Source organism: Homo sapiens, chromosome 10 (assembly GCF_000001405.40).
Source record: "Homo sapiens chromosome 10, GRCh38.p14 Primary Assembly".
Lineage (NCBI taxonomy): Eukaryota > Metazoa > Chordata > Mammalia > Primates > Hominidae > Homo > Homo sapiens.
The window spans coordinates 117,078,916-117,100,377 of record NC_000010.11 but is presented as its reverse complement, the minus strand read 5'-3'; the positions used below and the strand labels follow the sequence as shown (position 1 = coordinate 117,100,377).

At 39.3% G+C, this 21,462-nt stretch overlaps 1 protein-coding gene across 1 annotated transcript in view, besides 2 other annotated features; it reads left to right on the top strand.

Moving 5' to 3' along the window:
* Positions 1-21,462, top strand: part of SHTN1 (shootin 1) — a 245,110-nt gene that overhangs the window by 26,209 nt on the left and 197,439 nt on the right. The gene's annotated exons all lie outside the window — the stretch shown is intronic.
* Positions 4,646-5,765: an enhancer, noted in NCBI's record as "VISTA enhancer hs841". NCBI's record gives its function as "enhancer in: midbrain (mesencephalon)[3/8] | forebrain[5/8]" and the evidence as "EXISTENCE:transgenic organism evidence [ECO:0001131][PMID:17130149]".
* Positions 5,024-5,542: an enhancer, noted in NCBI's record as "NANOG hESC enhancer chr10:118854347-118854865 (GRCh37/hg19 assembly coordinates)". NCBI's record gives its function as "activates a minimal SCP1, AML or CMV promoter by ChIP-STARR-seq in primed H9 embryonic stem cells {active_cell/tissue: H9 hESC(primed)}" and the evidence as "EXISTENCE:reporter gene assay evidence [ECO:0000049][PMID:30033119]".

The following is a 21,462-nucleotide window of genomic DNA, read 5'->3' as shown; positions in this document are numbered from 1 at the left end:
CATAAGTCTCTGTGGCAACAACTTGGTTCTGCCATCCTAGCGTGAAAGCAGCCACAGAAAACACATCATGAATGAGGTGATGAGTTTCTAATAAAACTTTACTTACAAAAATGGATGATTGTTTCCCAGGCCCTGATCTGATGTGTGCCAGATGCTTTACATGTATTTACTCTTTATTTTTTATTTATAATTTATTTTTTGAGACGGAGTTTCGCTGTTGTTGCCCAGGCTGGAGTGCAATGGCGCTATCTCGGCTCACCGCAACCTCCACCTCCAAGGTTCAAGCGATTCTCCTGCCTCAGCCTCCCTAGTAGCTGAGATTACAGGCATGTACCACCATGCCTGGCTAATTTTATATTTTTAGTAGAGACGGGGTTTCTCCATGTTGGTCAGGCTGGTCTCGAACTCCCGACCTCAGATGATCCACCCACCTCGGCCTCCCAAAATGCTGGGATTACAGGTGTGAGCCACCATGCCTGGCCTGTATTTACTCTTTATGACAAACTGATAGACATTTATTCATTTTATAGGCTCATAGAGGTGCAGTAACTTGTCTAGAGCCACTCAGCTTGGTAAGGGGAAAACTTTGGATTCTAACCTAGGCCTCAAAGGTTAGAGAAAGGAAATGGTCAATAAAGTTTAATTCAACAAGTATTCATGGAGCGCCTCCTAGATGATTATAGTAGTGCTAGACATTTGAAAAAACTAGCATGTTTTAACTTCACTTCTCTCTAGTTACCTTTTATTTATTTTATTTTAATTAATTTGGGAAGGCAGCATGGTGTGGTGAAAAGAATGTGAGTTTTGGAATCTGACGTGACTCAAATTTTAGCCCCACTATTTAACAACTTTGTGAACTTGGGAAAGTTAAGTTCTGGCTTTAACATCCTGAGAGCAAAATCAGTGAAGTGATATTGGTAGATGCTAGGCCTCCATCAAATAATTTCTAAATGAGATTTTATATTCAAAGGAATATTATACTTAAAATTTTTTTATTCCAATAGTTTTTGGGGTACTGGTTTTTTTTTGGTTATATAGATGAGTTCTTTAGTGGTGAATTCTAAGATTTTAGTGCACCCCGTCACCCAAGCAGTGTACACTGTACCCAATATGTAGTCTGATCTCTCACCCCTCCTTACCTCCCCACCCTGAGTCTCCAAGATTCATTATATCACTCTGCATGTTTTTGCGTCCTCATATTAATAGCTTAGCTCCCACTTATAAGTGAGAACATAGAGTATTTTTTTCCATTCCTGAGTGACTTCACTTAGAATAATGGCCTCCAGCTCTATTCAAGTGGTTGCAAAAGACATTATTTTGTTCCTTTTTATGGTGTGTGTGTGTGTGTGTGTGTGTGTGTGTGTGTGTATACATACCACATTTTCTTTGTGGAACATTATACTTTTGATTTATGCTATGAATTTTTCCGTACTAAGTACTGTTAAGGTCTTTATAAATTTGAAGTCTTTTAAGGATCGAGATAAAAAGGAGACAGTTATTCTTTATCTCCTTCAGGGCTGGTCTGTTTCTAAGAATTTGGCTTGCGTGATGGAACACAAATTGTGTCTCCATCAGCAGGAGGAAGCGTTTGGGGGAAACTCAGGAATGTAGATACTGATGTCAATAGTATATAAGTTGTTGAGTCCTGCATTCTTTTTCTTCTATTTGCTAAGTGGCAAATAATTTGGGAGAGTGACTTGTAAGGTCCACATCATGATCATGTTCGATGCTCATATTCAGAGTGGACTTTGGCGTGATCAGTGGTTATTACAAGTGGTGGACAGTTTGAAAACATGCAGTGGGAAGCGTTAAGTGGCTTGTAGGAAAAATGTTGATGAGCAAATCAGGGCTGCCGTCACTTTGAGGATTGTTGTCAGTATCTGATTACATATAATAATTTCATCTTGATCATTAGAATCTCCTATTCCACAGGCTATCTCATTTCAAATTTCAGGAACTTTTTTTTTTTTTTTTTTTTTTTGAGACGGAGTGTCCCTCGGTCGCCCAGGCTGGAGGGCAGTGGCGCGATGTCGGCGCACTGCAAGCTCCGCCCCCTGGGTTCACGCCATTCTCCTGCCTCAGCCTCCCAAGTAGCTGGGACAACAGGCGTCCACCACTACGTCTGGCTAATTTTTTTTTTTTTTTTTTTTTTTAGTAGAGACGGGATTTCACCGTGTTAGCCAGGATGGTCTGGATCTCTTGACCTCGTGATCCGCCCTTCTTGGCCTCCCAAAGTGCTGGGATTACAGGCGTGAGCCACCGCGCCCGGCCTCAGGCATCTTTTAAAAGCACACCAGGAGTGCCTTCTTTTGCTCAGAAAATCTTCACTACTGGAAAAAATTTGCCATTCCCTTTCTGTGCCTCTTCAGTTGTTCTGGGGACTATCCACTCCACTTCACGTGAAGCATTTGCCACTGTTCTCACCAGCAGAGTCCCTCTGACTTTTGCCATTATCTGAATCTGTTGGGATGATGGAAAAAAAAAAACAACCTTTGATAACCTTTGAATCAACAAAGATATTAGAGGTAAAACAGAGATTTTGTGATGCAAGAAATTGAGAAGAGTCTTAAATAGAGATGCAGTTGGAATCGCTTAATAATTATGGTGTTAAAGATGTAATGGAAACTTTTTTTATTTGGGTAGTGAGTTCTCAAATACATTTGAAAATCAGGGTGGAGATTAAAGTGTAAACTGGGTCATGGTTGAAAATCTGGCACTTGGTGTAGTTTTAGTAACCTATAACCTTCATATCTTTCTGCTTTTATCAGACAAAAGGCAAATTCTTCTGACCCATGAAGCTGATCTGTGAACTCTGTCAAAAAATCCAAAACCCCACAGTTGTAGATCATGCATCTCATTAGCATAATTTGCCACCCAAGGTGTAAATGTATATTCTCTAAATTGGCACATAGTATGGATAGTATTTTACAGAATTGTGAGAAAAGATTGTTTGCCATGTAGAACAGTGAATTAAAATTTTGCCGTAAGAATTACTTTTTTCTCTTCACCTTTTCTTTCAGAAACTGTGAGTTATAAAATCAATTTAAACTTAGTCATTGAGATAGATGCTATACTTCAACCAAATAAGACCATACATTCTGGCAGAGTCTGTCGGGGTTGAGCAGAGTGGGAATCTGATTTTCATGAGGATGTCAGTTTGGTAAATCAGGACAGAAAAAACAAATGTCTCAACTAGTGAAATTACGTTTTTGGATTTCAGAGAACCAAACCAGTTTATAAGATGAAGTTATGAAATGAAGAATTTGAGAATCTGAATTTCCCTTTGCCCCTACTCTAGGGCTTCCTTTTTCCTTTGTGTGTGTGTGTGTGTGTGTGTGTGTGTGTGTCTATGTGTGTGTGTGTGCGCGCGCGTGCGCGCTTGGGTGTTTGTAGGACTTACTTCACTGTTATTAAAGCTTTGTAAGATTTCTCTAGGATCTCCATGATGATGTTCCTCTTTTTTAATTCCTGAAATTAAAATGTGTTGGAATGCTTGGCTGCCTTTCACTCCCTCCTCAATGGACCCTTTAGTTTTTCACACCAAGGTGTCCTTCAGGGTGCCAGGTCAGGCTACCAAAACAGCTTCTAGGAGAGGATTAGAACCAATTAACATCTTTGTACACAAAAGCCACTGGCAGCTGAACAGGCAGCCTGGTGGCGGCTCCGGAGCTGCATTTTAAATAGGGGCCTTCTGTACTTGAGTTCAAGTAGGAAGAGGTGGAGAAAGTTTTTATTTATAATTGAAAATGCTGTTTTTGGATAAAGTCTAATGAAAAGAAAAGTAGTGTTCAGAAGTATCTAACAAATACCATTTGAATGTTGGTCTATATTGTATGTGATTCCATCAAGGATGCTCTCACAATATAGCCTGCTCCTTGGCACATATTGAGATGAAGTGATGTTTCTTCACATAACAATTTTGTCCTTACATTTCTCTTGTTCTCTCTTTTAAAAAAAGTTCAGCTGGATCCTGAGGCACAAAAAGGAGCTGCTCCAAAGGATATATGGTCTTAAAAGCCAGAAGCCTTTTCATAAGAAATCTATCATATGGGTACCTGTACTACAAAATCTTTGTTTGGGGCAAAATAAAGTGGAGAGAGCCATTGTGCAAAGTTTGTTTGTTTTTTAACCCTTCAGTTGAGAGAAGTTGAGTTACTTTTGTTTTATTTTAAGCACAATAACCAAATCGTTACACTTTATTTTTTTGACCGTTTAATTTTTGGAGATAGTGTGTATCTTTTTATGTTCAGGAATACTAGAATCAACAAAGATATTAGAGGTAAAACACAGAGGTTTTGTGACCCAAGAAATTGAGAAGAGTCTTAAATAGAGATGCAGTTGGAATCGCTTAAGAATTATGTTGTTAAAGATGCAATGGAACCTGCTTTTATATTTGGGTTGTGAGTTCTCAAATACATTTTAAAGCTCAAGGGCAAAATAGAGGTGTTTTCAATCCATTTGATACTGAACCTTCTCAGCTCCCTCAACTGCAAGGCATGTAGCTTTCTCTGTGAGTGAAAATACTAGCAAATAAAATGCTGCTTGCAGAATCTTGTCCAAAAGACTACAGTGGGAATCCATGGGGAAAAGAAAAAGAGACCTGAAAAAGAAATTAATTAATATACAGTAGGTCAAAAGAATGATGATGATCATAAATTCACTAAATCAGAGTGGAAAATGTAAGGAAAAAAATGAAACTTTTTTTCAGATATTCTATTTTCTGTCCTGTTATATATTTTTGTTTTATGGAAGGAAAAGATGAAGAGAATAGTACGCATTTCTCTTTCAATGGCTTGAATGGAAAATGTTTTTAAAAAGTCAGTCTCCTGGTCCCTAATCTAAATTATGGTCATTTTCAGTTTCCTGGGTTTTATACATAACTCTAGATTCTTCTTAGTGTGATATTTTCGAAGCAAACCTTAATACAGTCTCAATGTGTGGTTTCCCCCCTGGGTTTTAGTTTCAGATACCGTATTGTGAGTCTTCAGACATGTTGAGTCCCCCTAATGTTAAATGGTAATTGCCAGAAGTATAGGTGGGGATGGAAACATTGTTATATTTTGTTCATTTTTCACACTTCAGCAGTTATCCCTTTTTCTCTCTTGCTGTATGCTTATTAGGGTATGAAATGCAGGTGTGTGGGAAATGGCTAGCGGACATTGACAGGTTATTTTGTTGGTCACTGCCTAATTAGTAGCATAGTGGATGCACCCTGCTAAGCTTTAGTGTGGGGCAGCAGAGCTGGTCTGTTCTAATTTCCTCACGGCTTTGATATTCGCCAAGAGATTGACGGTTTACACAAAAAGCCAAGGCCCGAAGGAGGCCTGTGGAAACAATGAGCCTTCTTGCTTGTAGACACCACAGATGTGAGAGAAAGCTGGCTAAAAACAATTGGCTGACACTGTCTAATTGTCTCCGATGTCAGCGTCATTAATGTTTTCCCATGTAAAACGGAGAAGGCCAAGGTTGTATCCTCCCTTGATTTTGAGGCACATGATTATGTAACTTATCGAGATTCAGATTAAGTGTTAATTGTATTTATGCAATAAGGAAACTGAAGCTACCTTGGATTTAATGAATATGTGCTTAATTAATTTTGACAGCTTTTATCTTTATTACCTTCTGAATAATTCTTATCAGAATTAATAACATTTTCCAGTAATTAAAATCACAACTCACTTAATGATAATATATATTTACATTTCTTTCTAAGTTCAAACCAGGGAAATGATTATGAAACTTCGCTTATCTTCTGGGAAGCCTCTTACCAGGGTGTTAAGCAATAATTAGAACAAATACTTTGAGATGTCAGCAGAGCTTTTCAAATTAGACAACTGACCCAAGTGTTCTAAAGAAACACATGGTAATAACCAAGAAGTACCAAATTACAAGGCTACCCCTGTGAAACTCCAGACCTATTTTTATCTATGAAATGGCTTTAAAGATTTTTTCCTGAGGAGGGGAAAACTGGGGAAGGTGAAACCCTAGGAAGAACTGACAGATTGGACTGAAATTAAACATTTTTTTGCAAGGTAAGATCTTCCTACAGTGCTGATGATATATCAATCCAAGCTGAAGTATATTGCGTGTCATTGTAATCAGCAAATATTACACAGTTTGTACTGTGTGGCAACATCTGTGACACCAAAATAAGTCAAGACAAATACTGTCATTTCTGCTCCTTTTGGTATTTCTTAGGTCTTTTTGGGGCAATACATTTTTCTCATCAGAGCGGTGTAGTGCCTCAGATAGTGGCAGAGCAACGGAGTTGTGCCCAGGAGGAGAGATACTCTGTGATTTGTTTATGGTCTGTGATGCTTCTGAGTCAGGGAAGCCCACATATCCTGAGTTCCACATTGAGTTAAAATATATCAAATTTGTTTCTCAAAAATAATATATTGGAAGAATTAGCCTCCCTCAAAATCATTTCTCCAGGAAGCTCCATGTTTTCCTCTGAACCTTTTATTTACCCAGGTTTGTTACTTGAGTGCACAACTACCCTTGACAGAAAGCATTGGTTTTTGAACTTGGGGTCATGTATAGAAAATCATATTGCTGAGTGTTTGGCTTCCTGTATCCCTTCTTTACCTGCACAATAGCACTGACAAAGTGCAGTCCACACAGTGAATGCCCATTGTGTGTGGTTCCAATGCATTGTCCACAATTGTTTCCTAGTTGTTCCGTAAGTTGTTACAGTACAGCTTATGACTAAAGAGAGCCTGGTGTCGTGAAAAAGTCCGTAGCCTTTGGGGTTGGGTAGATCGGAGTTTGAATCTGGCCTCAGCTACTTATTAGCTGAATGACTTTTGACATGACTTTTTTGAGTCTCAGGTTTTTGTTTTGTTTAGTTGTGTTGTGTTTTTGAGACAAGATCTTTCTCTGTCACCCCAGCTGGAGTGCAGTGGCATGATCTCGGCTTATCCTCCCACCTCGGCCTCCCGAGTAGCTGGAACCACAGGCATGCACCATGATACGTGGCTTTTTTTTTCATTTCAAGTTATTAATAATAATGCCTTGCAGGGTTGGTGTGAGCTTGAAAGATAGTGATTGTGAAGTGCTCAACACAAGATCACCTGCAGTAGCTGTAAAATGGTGGCTACCATTATTATTGTAGTAATACTTTCTGCACTTGTGGGCTCTGCTGCCTCCAATTTCTAATTGTATGTATCTGGGCATGCTACCTAACTTGTCTTAGCTTAGTTCCTCATGTGTAATATGGGATGATGGTAGTATATACTCAGTGTCCTTGTGAGGGATAGTGAACTGAGGATAGTAATACTAATGATAGTAGATATAATGACTACTACTGACATTTATTGAAGGAGTTCTCATTATATATTGTAGAGTCTGAAGCATTTAGGACTCTATAAGTATTGGCTGCTATTCTTGCATTTATTGTGAAGCCCTTAGAATTGTTGAAGAATTTCAGCTCTGTCAAATTCTTCATGTACTGCTATTAGTGGACCTGGTGGAACTGTCCCTCAACCAGGCATTTCTTATCTATGAGCTGAAGAAAGTATTACATATGAGCCCATACCCTTTTCTTTTTAAACCCTTCAGCCTCAGTCTCTCCCTTATCTCCCCCTCACTTTTTCTAAAATTCGGTTCTCTAAAGACAGTAACAATGTGAAAGCTCACCCTGAATAAGTCCAAGCTTCTCCAGAAAATGGTAATTGCTCATCTTGATTTATTCCAGTACATAAACTATCTGCATGCAGCTTTTCTCTCAGTGACCCAAACCAGCTGGGCGCCGTTGCCTCATGATTGGCAGATCCTTATGCACTGGGTGCAGCCAGATGGGTCTAGAGAATGCCTTCTTCTTCCCCTTTGTTTTTATTGGCTTAATTTGTCCCCAAAGGGGATAAAGTTTCACAATTTTTAAATACCGTGTCTGCATTTGTGTGTGTTGGTTCATTTCAAACACACAGGGATTTACTCCTACAGATTTATCAATTCTCGCATTTGTCGCAAATTCTGGATAAAGGATGTTGTAGCTTGGTCATCTAGAGAATCATAGGCTTTCATATGCAGCAGCAAGAGAGTTTCTGAGAGGCTAGTGTCATTACCCAAACTAGAGTTTGCTTGCCTGTGAGAGGCCAAAGTTATAACCTAACCTATTATGTTCACATCCTTACTGGGGATCATTTAAGCCCATGGCTTCAAATCAGTTCAGTAAACATCTCTTAAACATCGGTTATTTGCAAGCTACTGTGTTGGGCATAGTGAATGCAAATCTAAGTACGGGAAGTACTATGCAATATAGTGGTTACATGTACAGGCTTTGGTGTCACATCTGGGTTAAATCTTTCATCTATCCCTTATTAGTTTAGACGTTTTCCTCATTTATAAGGGGTTGAGAATACCAATCTCCCAGGGTTGTTTTTAAGGCTAAATGAGACACTGTATGTAAAGCCCTGATCACTTGACACATGGCAGTCATTAATAAGACACAGTCCCTGCCTCAACTGGAGGATACAGGCATGGAAAAGAGATCATTTCCATGTCATGTAGTAAGGGAACTAGGCTCATTCTGGCAGAGTGGGAGGAAGAGGGCTTAGAGAAACCTTCCTGGAAAGGACACTCACTACTTGCCTTCGGTCTTGATGGATGAGGCAGTCATTCATGTAAAGTAGGGCAAGGGACCATATTTTCCCAGTGGAAGGACCAGCATGAGCAAATGCATACTGGAGAAAATGTATATGCTAAAAACTGCAAGAAATTCAGTGTTGTTAGGAACTCAAAGCCTTTGGATTGTGCTTACCTGTTAAGAGAGGCTGCTTGGAAATGGGCTGGCATTCTTTGGGCCTTTGTTTTTGTTCCCTCAGGGTAACTTAGTAGGTTCCACCTCCCCTTAGAAGGTGACATAGTCCAAGGAATACCAGTTCTTCTTTAATTTGCTTAGCTTCTGTTCTGAAAGGAAAGGTCATTTATGGGGAAAGGTCATGTCTGTCATTTAAGGAAAAGTCAAATGTGGATTTCCAGAGCTTTCCTTTTTGACTGTGTGACCTTATGCTATTTAGCCTGTGTCTCAGATTCCTCATCTATAAAATTTAAAATTTGGATAGTAATACTATTTACCTCATCTGAGATATTTCAGGATTAAGTGATACAATCCATGTAAAGTATTTGGAACAGTCCCTGGCACAACGCGTAAGCTCGATAAATGTTAATATTGATGCGTTAATTACTCTCAGGAGTATTTCCATTCAGAAGAAGGCAGAATTTAACTGAGAGTAATGGTGGACTTTTTCAGCATGATGTCATTTCCTATTTGGAACAGAGGTCAAGAGAAATAGTAAAAGGTGATCCTGTGCTTTCAATCTTCTCTTCCAGAGGATAATTTAGTGCTACCACACACACTGTAGTTGGAAAGGGAAGCACAGTTCCTAAATCATCATTCTGAGCCAACTTGTGCTCTTCTGTCACAGGGTCAGAAGCCTTTAAAGAAAAAGTCTTGGGAACAGATCCACCCCAACAGTCAGATCCTTTTTCTTATTCTTCTTCCCCTTCTCTATCCTCTTTTTCCTGGCTCACCTTTCCCTCCCTCCCTCCCTCCTTTCCTTCCTTCCTTCCTTCCTTCCTTCCTTCCTTCCTTCCTTCCTTCCTTCCTTCCTTCCTTCCTTCTGTTTTCACAAATTAGGGCACATGGCTTGGAGAACAGAGGACGGGGCGGATTTTAAATTCATAGCTAGGTGCCCTTGTGTAAGACAACTGGCACAATCATATGAAACAGCCCTTATTCCCTTCTGAATTCTTAACTTTTATTTGAGCCCACCCAATGGTGATTGTTTTGTTTTATTTCAAATTGTGGAAAATACATATAGCATAAAATTGACCATCTTAACCATTTTTAAGTGTACAGTTTAGTAGTGTTAAGTGTATTCACATTATTGTGAAGCTAATCTCCAGAACTTCTTCATCCTGCAAAACTGAAGCTCTGTACCTGTTAAAACAACAACTCCCCAGCCTTCTGTCCCCTGGCCCCTGACGACCAAATTCTACTTTCTGTCTCTATGAATCTGACTACTCTAGGTACCTTTATCAGTGGGATATCAGTATCTGTCCTTTTGTGACTGGCTTATTTAAACTGACTTAGTGTCCTTTAAGGTTCATCCATGTTGTAGCACGTGTCAGAATTTCCTTTCTTTTTAAGGATGAATAATTCCATTGTATGTATATTACAATTTGTTTACCCATTCATTATTGATGGACATTTGGGTTGCTTCTTTCTTTTGGCTGTTAGTAACAGTGCTGCTATGAACATGAACATGGGTGTACAAATATCTCTTTGAGACTCTGCTTTCAGTTCTTTGGGATTTATACCCAGAAGTGATATTGTAGGATCTTCTTTGAAGAACCACTGTGCTGTTTTCCATAGCGGCTGCACTATTTTACATTCTCGCCAACAGTGTACAAGGGTTCTAATTTCTCCACATCCTCACCAACATATGTTGTTTTCTATTTGTTTTTTGTTTTGTGTTTTTTGATAGCCATTCTAATGGGTATGAGGTGGTGTTTCATTGTGGGTTTGATTTTTATTCCCCTAATGATTTTCATTTTCCTAGTATTTCCATAATGAATGAAATGTCTATTCAATTCCTTTTCCTATTTTTGAGTCAGCTTGTTTGTTTCTGTGGTTGAGTTTTAGAGTTCTTTATATATTCTGAATATTAATATTTTATCAGATATATGATTTGCAAATATTTTCTCCCATTCCGTATGTTTTCTTCTCATTCTGTTGATACTGTCCTTTGATGCACAGAAGTTCTTAATCTTGATGTAGTTCAGTTTATTTTTACTTTTGTTGCCTGTGCTTTTGACGCCCTATCCAAAAAAATCATTGCCAAATCCAGCGTCATGAAGCTTTTGCTCTATGTTGTCTTTTAAGAGTTTTATAGTTTTAAGTCTCAAGTTCAGGTCTTTGATCCATTTTGAGTTAATTTTTTATATGTTGTAAGTTAAATGGTGATTTTTTGTTACTTTTTAAAGAGAGTACAAAGTTCCTGAAGTATTATCCTGCCTTTCCCCACTTCTAGACTCTAAATTACTTTTTATTAAATTTTTACAATGATATGACTTACATAAAGGTTGTTTTAAGTGTACTGTTTCAAGCCTTTTGAAAAATGTACACACCACATAAACAACACCACAATCAAGATTAGAACATTTCTGTCACCCTCAAAATTCCCTTGTGCCCATTTTAGTCAGTTCTTTCTCCTACCCTCAACAGCCACTGATCTGTTTTTTCTCACTATAGTTTTGTGTTGTCTAGAACTGTTGCTAATAGGGCTGCTGTCTGTACAGCCCTACCATGGGTTAGTGGGGCTGTACAGCCCTATTAATGTGCCAGAGATAGGGTTTTATTCTGCCTTTACCACCAGCACTCAATAATAATGTGCCAGGTTATAGGGATATAGAGAGGAATGGGACATGATACTTAACACGTTCATGGTCTGTTAGGAGCTACTTTTGTATGCTTCACTGAAAGTGCCCCAGACAAGACCCCTGATGTGTGTGTGGTCTAGGAAATGTGCCTAAAAGGAGAACTTAGGCATCTATGTTTTAGTGGCAGACCTAAGGCAAGTTAGTACCAGAGTGAATTTGATCAAAGACTCTTTCCAGAGCCACAAGTAGCAATGCCAAGCACAGAATTCTTACAAAGTAAACAGCCTATACGTTGCAGGTGCTGCCCCCTCACACCTGTATTGGAGGATTTGCCGAGTACAGACATTTTGACTTTTTAATGGGTGGCCGTGAAATTGACAAAGGAGGGTGGAGGAAATTGCATCTCTGAAAGTTTGTAGTTCATCATTCTCCTGGGAATGACTCAGCTTCTTCTTCCCTTCTAGCTATAATTCCAGTTTCTTTTTCTAATGGACACACTGATATTTTCATGCTTATTTCTAACCTTTTCGGGCCTACTGAAAATGTCCTTAAAGGGAAATGGAGAAGTTAGAAGGTATAATTCAAAAAGTAGCTTTTACGTGAATCAACTCTACCAATATTTAGGCAATGCCTTATAACAAAACATTTCTAAATTTTAATCAGTTATGAATAAAAGGTACTAAATGTGAATGGATGTGACTCAAAACACTGTAGTGAACTGAGGTAGCTGGTAGATATTAGAGGTTTGTTTTGTGTATTCCTGTGTAGTGCATCCACCCAGGTACAGTTTTCTGCATTCACCTAGTACATTCCGTGGGGTAAAGTTGTGTGTAATCAAATGCAAAATTCACATTTTGCACAAATTGTTCTTTAATATATTAGTTACACTGGAGCACATTCATATTTTCACAACAAACAATACAGCAGAACTAACTGTAATCTCTAACACTTGACCTGTTATTTTGGTTTGTTTTGTTTCCTCCTGCCTCAGCCTTCTGAGTGGCTGGGACTACAGGTGCATGCCACCATACCTGGCTAATATTTACACTTTTAGTAGAGATGAGGTCTTGCTATGTTGCCCAGGGTGGTCTCAAGCTCCTGGTCTCAAGCAGTCCTCCTGCCTCGGCCTCCCCAAGTATCGGGACTATACCCAGTCAAGTTTTTGTATATTTAGGATGCTAATCTGTTGCATTTAAATACATTGCAAAAAATATTCTCTGATTTTGTAGTTTGTCTTTTTGCTTTCTTTAAGCTGCCTTTTGCTGAATAGACATTCTTAGTTTTAATGTAATCAATTGTATTAATCATTATGTTTTGACTCATATTGTCTTGTTTAAGAAATCCTTTCCTGTATGTCACGTAAATATTTTTTAAAGTTTTATTTTCCATTAAAATCTTAATCTACTTTTTGTTGATTTCTATGTATGATATGAAATAGAGATCCACTTTTCCTTTTTGTATGTGTATAACTAACTCCATTTATCAAATAGTCACTCTTTTTTCTGCCCTGTCATCTCTGTCATGTGCCAAATGTAAATAAATGTATCTATGTGGTGGCTTTTTATTCTCTGTTAATAGTCAGTTTGTCTAACTCTGATCCAACACCATGGTGTCTTTAATTATTAACATTTTCTGTGTGTGAAATCTTTGTACCCGGTAGGGTTACTCCCCTTTCCTTATGCATTTTAAAAATTGTTTTAAAATACACATAACATAAAATTAACCATTTCAACCATTTTTAAAGTGTACAATTCAGTGACATTAAGTACATTCATAATGTTGTATAATTATCACCATTATGTTTACAGAAATTCTTCGTCACTCCAAACAACTAAACCTATTGCTTATTGCACCCATTAAGCAATAACTCCCTATTTCTTCCTCTATCCAGACCCTGGTAACCTTGGTAACCTCTAATCTATTTCATATCTCTATAAATTTGCCTGTTCTAGATATTTCAAATAAATTGAATCATACTATAGTTGACCATTTGTGTCTGGCTTATTTCACTTAGTATAATGTTCCAGGGCTCATTCATGTTGCAGCGTGTATAAGAACTTCATTCCTTTTTATGGCAAATAATATTCCATCATATGTATGTGCCACATTTTGTTTATCCACTCATATATTGATGGATACTTGGGTTGTGTCCACCTTTAAGCTCACATAAATAATGCTCCTGTGAACATTGCTGTCCACGTATCTGTTTGAGTCCCTGTTTTCAATTCTTTCGGGTATACACCTAGGAATGGAATTTCTGAGTCATATGATAATTCTATGTTTAACTTTTTGAGGACTCGCTGACCTTTTCCATAATGTCTGCCTCCTTTTATATTCCTGTTAGCACTGTATGAGGGTTCCAGTTTCTCCACATTTTTGCCAAAACAAGTATAAATGATATGCTAAGAGAAGGTAGGACTATATAAAACACTAAAATTAAAACCAGAGAAGGCAGAAAAGAATGGAGAACAAAAAAGAAAGAACAAGAGTGGCAAATGAAAATCAGTTACAAGTATTGTAGATACTAGTCCAACTATATTCATAATTAATTAAAATGTGAATGGTCTAATACATCAATGAAAAGACAAGGACGCTCAGAGTGGTTAAAATAAAGCAAACAAGACCCCAACTATGTGTTATCTACAAGAAACCCACTTTATAAAGTCACAAATTGACTAAAAGTAAAGTGATGGAGAAAGATAATGCTGTGCTCTACTAGTCAAAAGAAAGTTGGCATAGCTATATTAATTTCAGACGGCCGGGCGCGGTGGCTCATGATGGACGCGGTGGCTCACGCCTGTAATCCCAGCACTTTGGGAGGCCAAGGCGGGCAGATCACGAGGTCAGGAGATACAGACCATCCTAGCTAACATGGTGAAACCCCGTCTCTACTAAAATAAAAAAATTAGCTGGGCGTGGTGGCACACACCTGTAGTGCCAGCTACTCAGGAGGCTGAGGCAGGAGAATCGCTTGAACCCGGGAGGTGGAGGTTGAAGTGAGCCGAGATCACGCTACTGCACTCCAGCCTGGTCTACAGAGCGAGACTCCGTCTCAAAAAAAAAAAAAAAAAAAATCAGACAAAGCAGACTTTAGATCAAGGAAAATTATCAGGGATAAATAGGACCATTACATAATATAAAAGGGGTCAATCTGCAAAAAAAATAACAATTTTAATGTGTATGCACTTGACAACAGAGCATCAATCTACATGAGGCAAAAACTGAGAGAACTGCAAAGAGAAATAGACAAATCCAGTATTACAGTTGCTGATTTCAACACACTTCTATCAGTAATTGTCAGATCCAGCAGACAGAAAATCAATAAAGACATAGTTGAACTGAACCCCATCACCAGTCAACTGGATTTAATTGACATTTATAGAATACTTCAACGACAGAAGAATATGCATCTTTTTGAGCTCACATGAAACATTCACCAAGGTAGACCACATTCTGAGCTATAAAACGTACCTTAGAAAACTCACAAAATATGCTCTCAGACCACAACAGAATTAAACTAGAAATCGGTAATAAAGATAGCTGGAAAATACCCAAATATTTGGAGATTAAACAACACACTTCCAAATAACACATGGGGCAAGGAAGAAATCGCAAGAGAAATTTAAAAATATTTTCAACTAAGTAAACATAAAAATACAACTTATCAAAATTTGTGGGACCAGTAAAAGCAGTGTTCAGAGGGAAATTTATAGCATTGAGTGCATATATGAGAAAAGAAGGAAGGTCCAAAATCGATAATGTTTTTTAACCTAAGGAAACTAGAAAGAGCATATACAATTCAAAGAAAGTAGAAGAAAAATAATACAAATTTAAGCCAAAATCAATGACATTGAAAGCAGGAAAACAATAGAGAAAATCAATGAAACCAAAAGCTGTTTTCTTGAAGTTTATTAAAATTCACAAACCCTGGGGGAGGAGCCAAGATGGCCCAATAGGAACAGCTCTGGTCTACAGCTCCCAGCCTGAGCGACCCAGAAGACGGGTGATTTCTGCATTTCCATCTGAGGTACCGGGTTCATCTCACTAGGGAGTGCCAGACAGTGGGCGCAGGTCAGTGGGGGCGCGCACCGTGCGCGAGCCGAAGCAGGGCGAGGCATTGCCTCACTCGGGAAGCGCAAGGGGTCAGGGAGTTCCCTTTCCTAATCAAAGAAAGGGGTGACGGACGGCACCTGGAAAATCGGGTCACTCCCACCCAAATACTGCGCTTTTCCGACGGGCTTAAAAAACGGCGCACCACGAGATTATATCCTGCACCTGGCTCGGAGGGTCCTACCTCACGGAGTCTCGCTGATTGCTAGCACAGCAGTCTGAGATCAAACTGCAAGGCGGCAGCGAGGCTGGGGGAGGGACTCCCACCATTGCCCAGGCTTGCTTAGGTAAACAAAGCAGCCGGGAAGCTCGAACTGGGTGGAGCCCACCACAGCTCAAGGAGGCCTGCCTGCCTCTGTAGGCTCCACCTCTGGGGGCGGGCACAGACAAACAAAAAGACAGCAGTAACCTCTGCAGACTTAAATGACCCTGTCTGACAGCTTTGAAGAGAGCAGTGGTTCTCCCAGTACGCAGCTGGAGATCTGAGAACAGTCAGACTGCCTCCTCAAGTGGGTCCCTGACCCCCGAGCAGCCTAACTGGGAGGCACCCTCCAGCAGGGGCACACTGACACCTCACACTGCAGGGTACTCCAACAGACCTGCAGCTGAGGGTCCTGTCTGTTAGAAGGAAAACTAACAAACAGAAAGGACATCCACACCAAAAACCCATCTGTACATCACCATCATCAAAGACCAAAAGTAGATAAAACCACAAAGATGGGGAAAAAACAGAACAGAAAAACTGGAAACTCTAAAAATAAGAGCGCCTCTCCTCCTCCAAAGGAACGCAGCTCCTCACCAGCAACGGAACAAAGCTGGATGGAGAATGACTTTGACGAGCTGAGAGAAGAAGGCTTCAGAAGATCAAATTACTCTGAGCTATGGGAGGACATTCAAACCAAAGGCAAAGAAGTTGAAAACTTTGAAAAAAATTTAGAAGAATGTATAACTAGAATAACCAACACAGAGAAGTGCTTAAAGGAGCTGATGGAGCTGAAAACCAAGGCTCGAGAACTACGTGAAGAATGCAGAAGCCTCAGGAGCCGATGCGATCAACTGGAAGAAAGGGTATCAGCAATGGAAGATGAAATGAATGAAATGAATGAAATGAAGCGAGAAGGAAAGTTTAGAGAAAAAAGAATAAAAAGAAACGAGCAAAGCCTCCAAGAAATATGGGACTATGTGAAAAGACCAAATCTACGTCTGACTGGTGTACCTGAAAGTGATGGGGAGAATGGAACCAAGTTGGAAAACACTCTGCAGGATATTATCCAGGAGAACTTCCCCAATCTAGCAAGGCAGGCCAATGTTCAGATTCAGGAAATACAGAGAACACCACAAAGATACTCCTCGAGAAGAGCAACTCCAAGACACATAATTGTCAGATTCACCAAAGTTGAAATGAAGGAAAAAATATTAAGGGCAGCCAGAGAGAAAGGTCGGGTTACCCTCAAAGGGAAGCCCATCAGACTAACAGCGGATCTCTCGGCAGAAACCCTACAAGCCAGAAGAGAGTGGGGGCCAATATTCAACATTCTTAAAGAAAAGAATTTTCAACCCAGAATTTCATGTCCAGCCAAACTAAGCTTCATAAGTGAAGGAGAAATAAAATACTTTACAGACAAGCAAATGCTGAGAGATTTTGTCACCACCAGGACTGCCCTAAAAGAGCTCCTGAAGGAAGCGCTAAACATGGAAAGGAACAACCGGTACCAGCCGCTGCAAAATCATGCCAAAATGTAAAGACCATCGAGATTAGGAAGAAACTGCATCAACTAACGAGCAAAATAACCAGCTAACATCATAATGACAGGATCAAATTCACACATAACACTATTAACTTTAAATGTAAATGGACTAAATGCTCCAATTAAAAGACACAGACTGGCAAATTGGATAAAGAGTCAAGACCCATCAGTGTGCTGTATTCAGGAAACCCATCTCACGTGCAGAGCACACATAGGCTCAAAATAAAAGGATGGAGGAAGATCTACCAAGCAAATGGAAAACAAAAAAAGGCAGGGGTTGCAATCCTAGTCTCTGATAAGACAGACTTTAAACCAACAAAGATCAAAAGAGACAAAGAAGGCCATTACATAATGGTAAAGGAATCAATTCAACAAGAAGAGCTAACTATCCTAAATATATATGCACCCAATACAGGAGCACCCAGATTCATAAAGCAAGTCCTGAGTGACCTACAAAGAGACTTAGACTCCCACACATTAATAATGGGAGACTTTAACACCCCACTGTCAACATTAGACAGATCAATGAGACAGAAATTCAACAAGGATACCCAGGAATTGAACTCAGCTCTGCACCAAGCGGACCTAATAGACATCTACAGAACTCTCCACCCCAAATCAACAGAGTATACATTTTTTTCAGCACCACACCACACCTATTCCAAAATTGACCACATACTTGGAAGTAAAGCTCTCCTCAGCAAATGTAAAAGAACAGAAATTATAACAAACTATCTCTCAGACCACAGCGCAATCAAACTAGAACTCAGGATTAAGAATCTCACTCAAAACCGCTCAACTACATGGAAACTGAACAACCTGCTCCTGAATGACTACTGGGTACATAACGAAATGAAGGCAGAAATAAAGATGTTCTTTGAAACCAATGAGAACAAAGACACAACATACCAGAATCTCTGGGACGCATTCAAAGCAGTGTGTAGAGGGAAATTTATAGCACTAAATGCCCACAAGAGAAAGCAGGAAAGATCTAAAATTGACACCCTAACATCACAATTAAAAGAACTAGAAAAGCAAGAGCAAACACATTCAAAAGCTAGCAGAAGGCAAGAAATAACTAAAATCAGAGCAGAACTGAAGGAAATAGAGACACAAAAAACCCTTCAAAAAATTAATGAATCCAGGAGCTGGTTTTTTGAAAGGATCAACAAAATTGATAGACCTCTAGCAAGACTAATAAAGAAAAAAAGAGAGAAGAATCAAATAGACGCAATAAAAAATGATAAAGGGGATGTCACCACCGATCCCACAGAAGTACAAACTACCATCAGAGAATACTACAAACACCTCTACGCAAATAAACTAGAAAATCTAGAAGAAATGGATAAATTCCTTGACACATACACTCTCCCAAGACTAAACCAGGAAGAAGTTGAATCTCTGAATAGACCAATAACAGGATCTGAAATTGTGGCAATAATCAATAGCTTACCACCCAAAAAGAGTCCAGGACCAGATGGATTCACAGCCGAATTCTACCAGAGGTACAAGGAGGAACTGGTACCATTCCTTCTGAAACTATTCCAATCAATAGAAAAAGAGGGAATCCTCCCTAACTCATTTTATGAGGCCAGCATCATTCTGATACCAAAGCCAGGCAGAGACACAACCAAAAAAGAGAATTTTAGACCAATATCCTTGATGAACATTGATGCAAAAATCCTCAATAAAATACTGGCAAACCAAATCCAGCAGCACATCAAAAAGCTTATCCACCATGATCAAGTGGGCTTCATCCCTGGGATGCAAGGCTGGTTCAATATACGCAAATCAATAAATGTAATCCAGCATATAAACAGAGCCAAAGACAAAAACCACATGATTATCTCAATAGATGCAGAAAAGGCCTTTGACAAAATTCAACAGCCTTTCATGCTAAAAACTCTCAATAAATTAGGTATTGATGGGACATATTTCAAAATAATAAGAGCTATCTATGACAAACCCACAGCCAATATCATACTGAATGGGCAAAAACTGGAAGCATTCCCTTTGAAAACTGGCACAAGACAGGGATGCCCTCTCTCACCACTCCTATTCAACATAGTGTTGGAAGTTCTGGCCAGGGCAATTAGGTGGGAGAAGGAAATAACGGGTATTCAATTAGGAAAAGAGGAAGTCAAATTGTCCCTGTTTGCAGATGACATGATTGTATATCTAGAAAACCCCATTGTCTCAGCCCAAAATCTCCTTAAGCTGATAAGCAACTTCAGCAAAGTCTCAGGATACAAAATCAATGTGCAAAAATCACAAGCATTCCTATACACCAACAACAGACAGAGAGCCAAATCATGAGTGAACTCCCATTCACAATTGCTTCAAAGAGAATAAAATACCTAGGAATCCAACTTACAAGGGATGTGAAGGACCTCTTCAAGGAGAACTACAAACCACTGCTCAAGGAAATAAAAGAGGATACAAACAAATGGAAGAACATTCCATGCTCATGGGTAGGAAGAATCAATATCGTGAAAATGGCCATACTGCCCAAGGTAATTTACAGATTCAATGCCATCCCCATCAAGCTACCAATGACTTTCTTCACAGAATTGGAAAAAACTACTTTAAAGTTCATATGGAACCAAAAAAGAGCCCGCATCACCAAGTCAATCCTAAGCCAAAAGAACAAAGCTGGAGGCATCACACTGCCTGACTTCAAACTATACTACAAGGCTACAGTAACCAAAACAGCATGGTACTGGTACCAAAACAGAGATATAGATCAATGGAACAGAACAGAGCCCTCAGAAATAACGCCGCATATCTACAACTATCTGATCTTTGACAAACCTGAGAAAAACAAGCAATGGGGAAAGGATTCCCTATTTAATAAATGGTGCTGGGAAAACTGGCTAGCCATATGTAGAAAGCTGAAACTGGATCCCTTCCTTACACCTTATACAAAAATCAATTCAAGATGGATTAAAGACTTAAACGTTAGACCTAAAACCATAAAAACCCTAGAAGAAAACCTAGGCATTACCATTCAGGACATAGGCATGGGCAAGGACTTCATGTCTAAAACACCAAAAGCAATGGCAACAAAAGACAAAATTGACAAATGGGATCTAATTAAACTAAAGAGCTTCTGCACAGCAAAAGAAACTACCATCAGAGTGAACAGGCAACCTACAAAATGGGAGAAAATTTTCACAACCTACTCATCTGACAAAGGGCTAATATCCAGAATCTACAATGAACTCAAACAAATTTACAAGAAAAAGACAAACAACCCCATCAAAAAGTGGGCGAAGGACATGAACAGACACTTCTCAAAAGAAGACATTTATGCAGCCAAAAAACACATGAAAAAGTGCTCATCATCACTGGCCATCAGAGAAATGCAAATCAAAACCACAATGAGATACCATCTCACACCAGTTAGAATGGCAATCATTAAAAAGTCAGGAAACAACAGGTGCTGGAGAGGATGTGGAGAAATAGGAACACTTTTACACTGTTGGTGGGACTGTAAACTAGTTCAACCATTGTGGAAGTCAGTGTGGCGATTCCTCAGGGATCTAGAACTAGAAATACCATTTGACCCAGCCATCCCATTACTGGGTATATACCCAAAGGACTATAAATCATGCTGCTATAAAGACACATGCACACGTATGTTTATTGCGGCATTATTCACAATAGCAAAGACTTGGAACCAACCCAAATGTCCAACAATGATAGACTGGATTAAGAAAATGTGGCACATATGCACCATGGAATACTATGCAGCCATAAAAAATGATGAGTTCATGTCCTTTGTAGGGACATGGATGAAATTGGAAACCATCATTCTCAGTAAACTATCGCAAGAACAAAAAACCAAACACCGCATATTCTCACTCATAGGTGGGAATTGAACAATGAGATCACATGGACACAGGAAGGGGAACATCACACTCTGGGGACTGTTGTGGGGTCGGGGGAGGGGGGGAGGGATAGCATTGGGAGATATACCTGATGCTAGATGACGAGTTAGTGGGTGCAGCACACCAGCATGGCACATGTATACATATGTAACTAACCTGCACAATGTGCACATGTACCCTAAAACTTATAATAATAAAAAAATAAATAAAAATAAAAAAAATTCACAAATCTCTAGCCAAGCTAATGAAGACAAAGAAGACATAAATTATTAATATCATAAATTAAAGCAGGGCCATCACTACTGATCTAATGGACATTGTAAGGATAA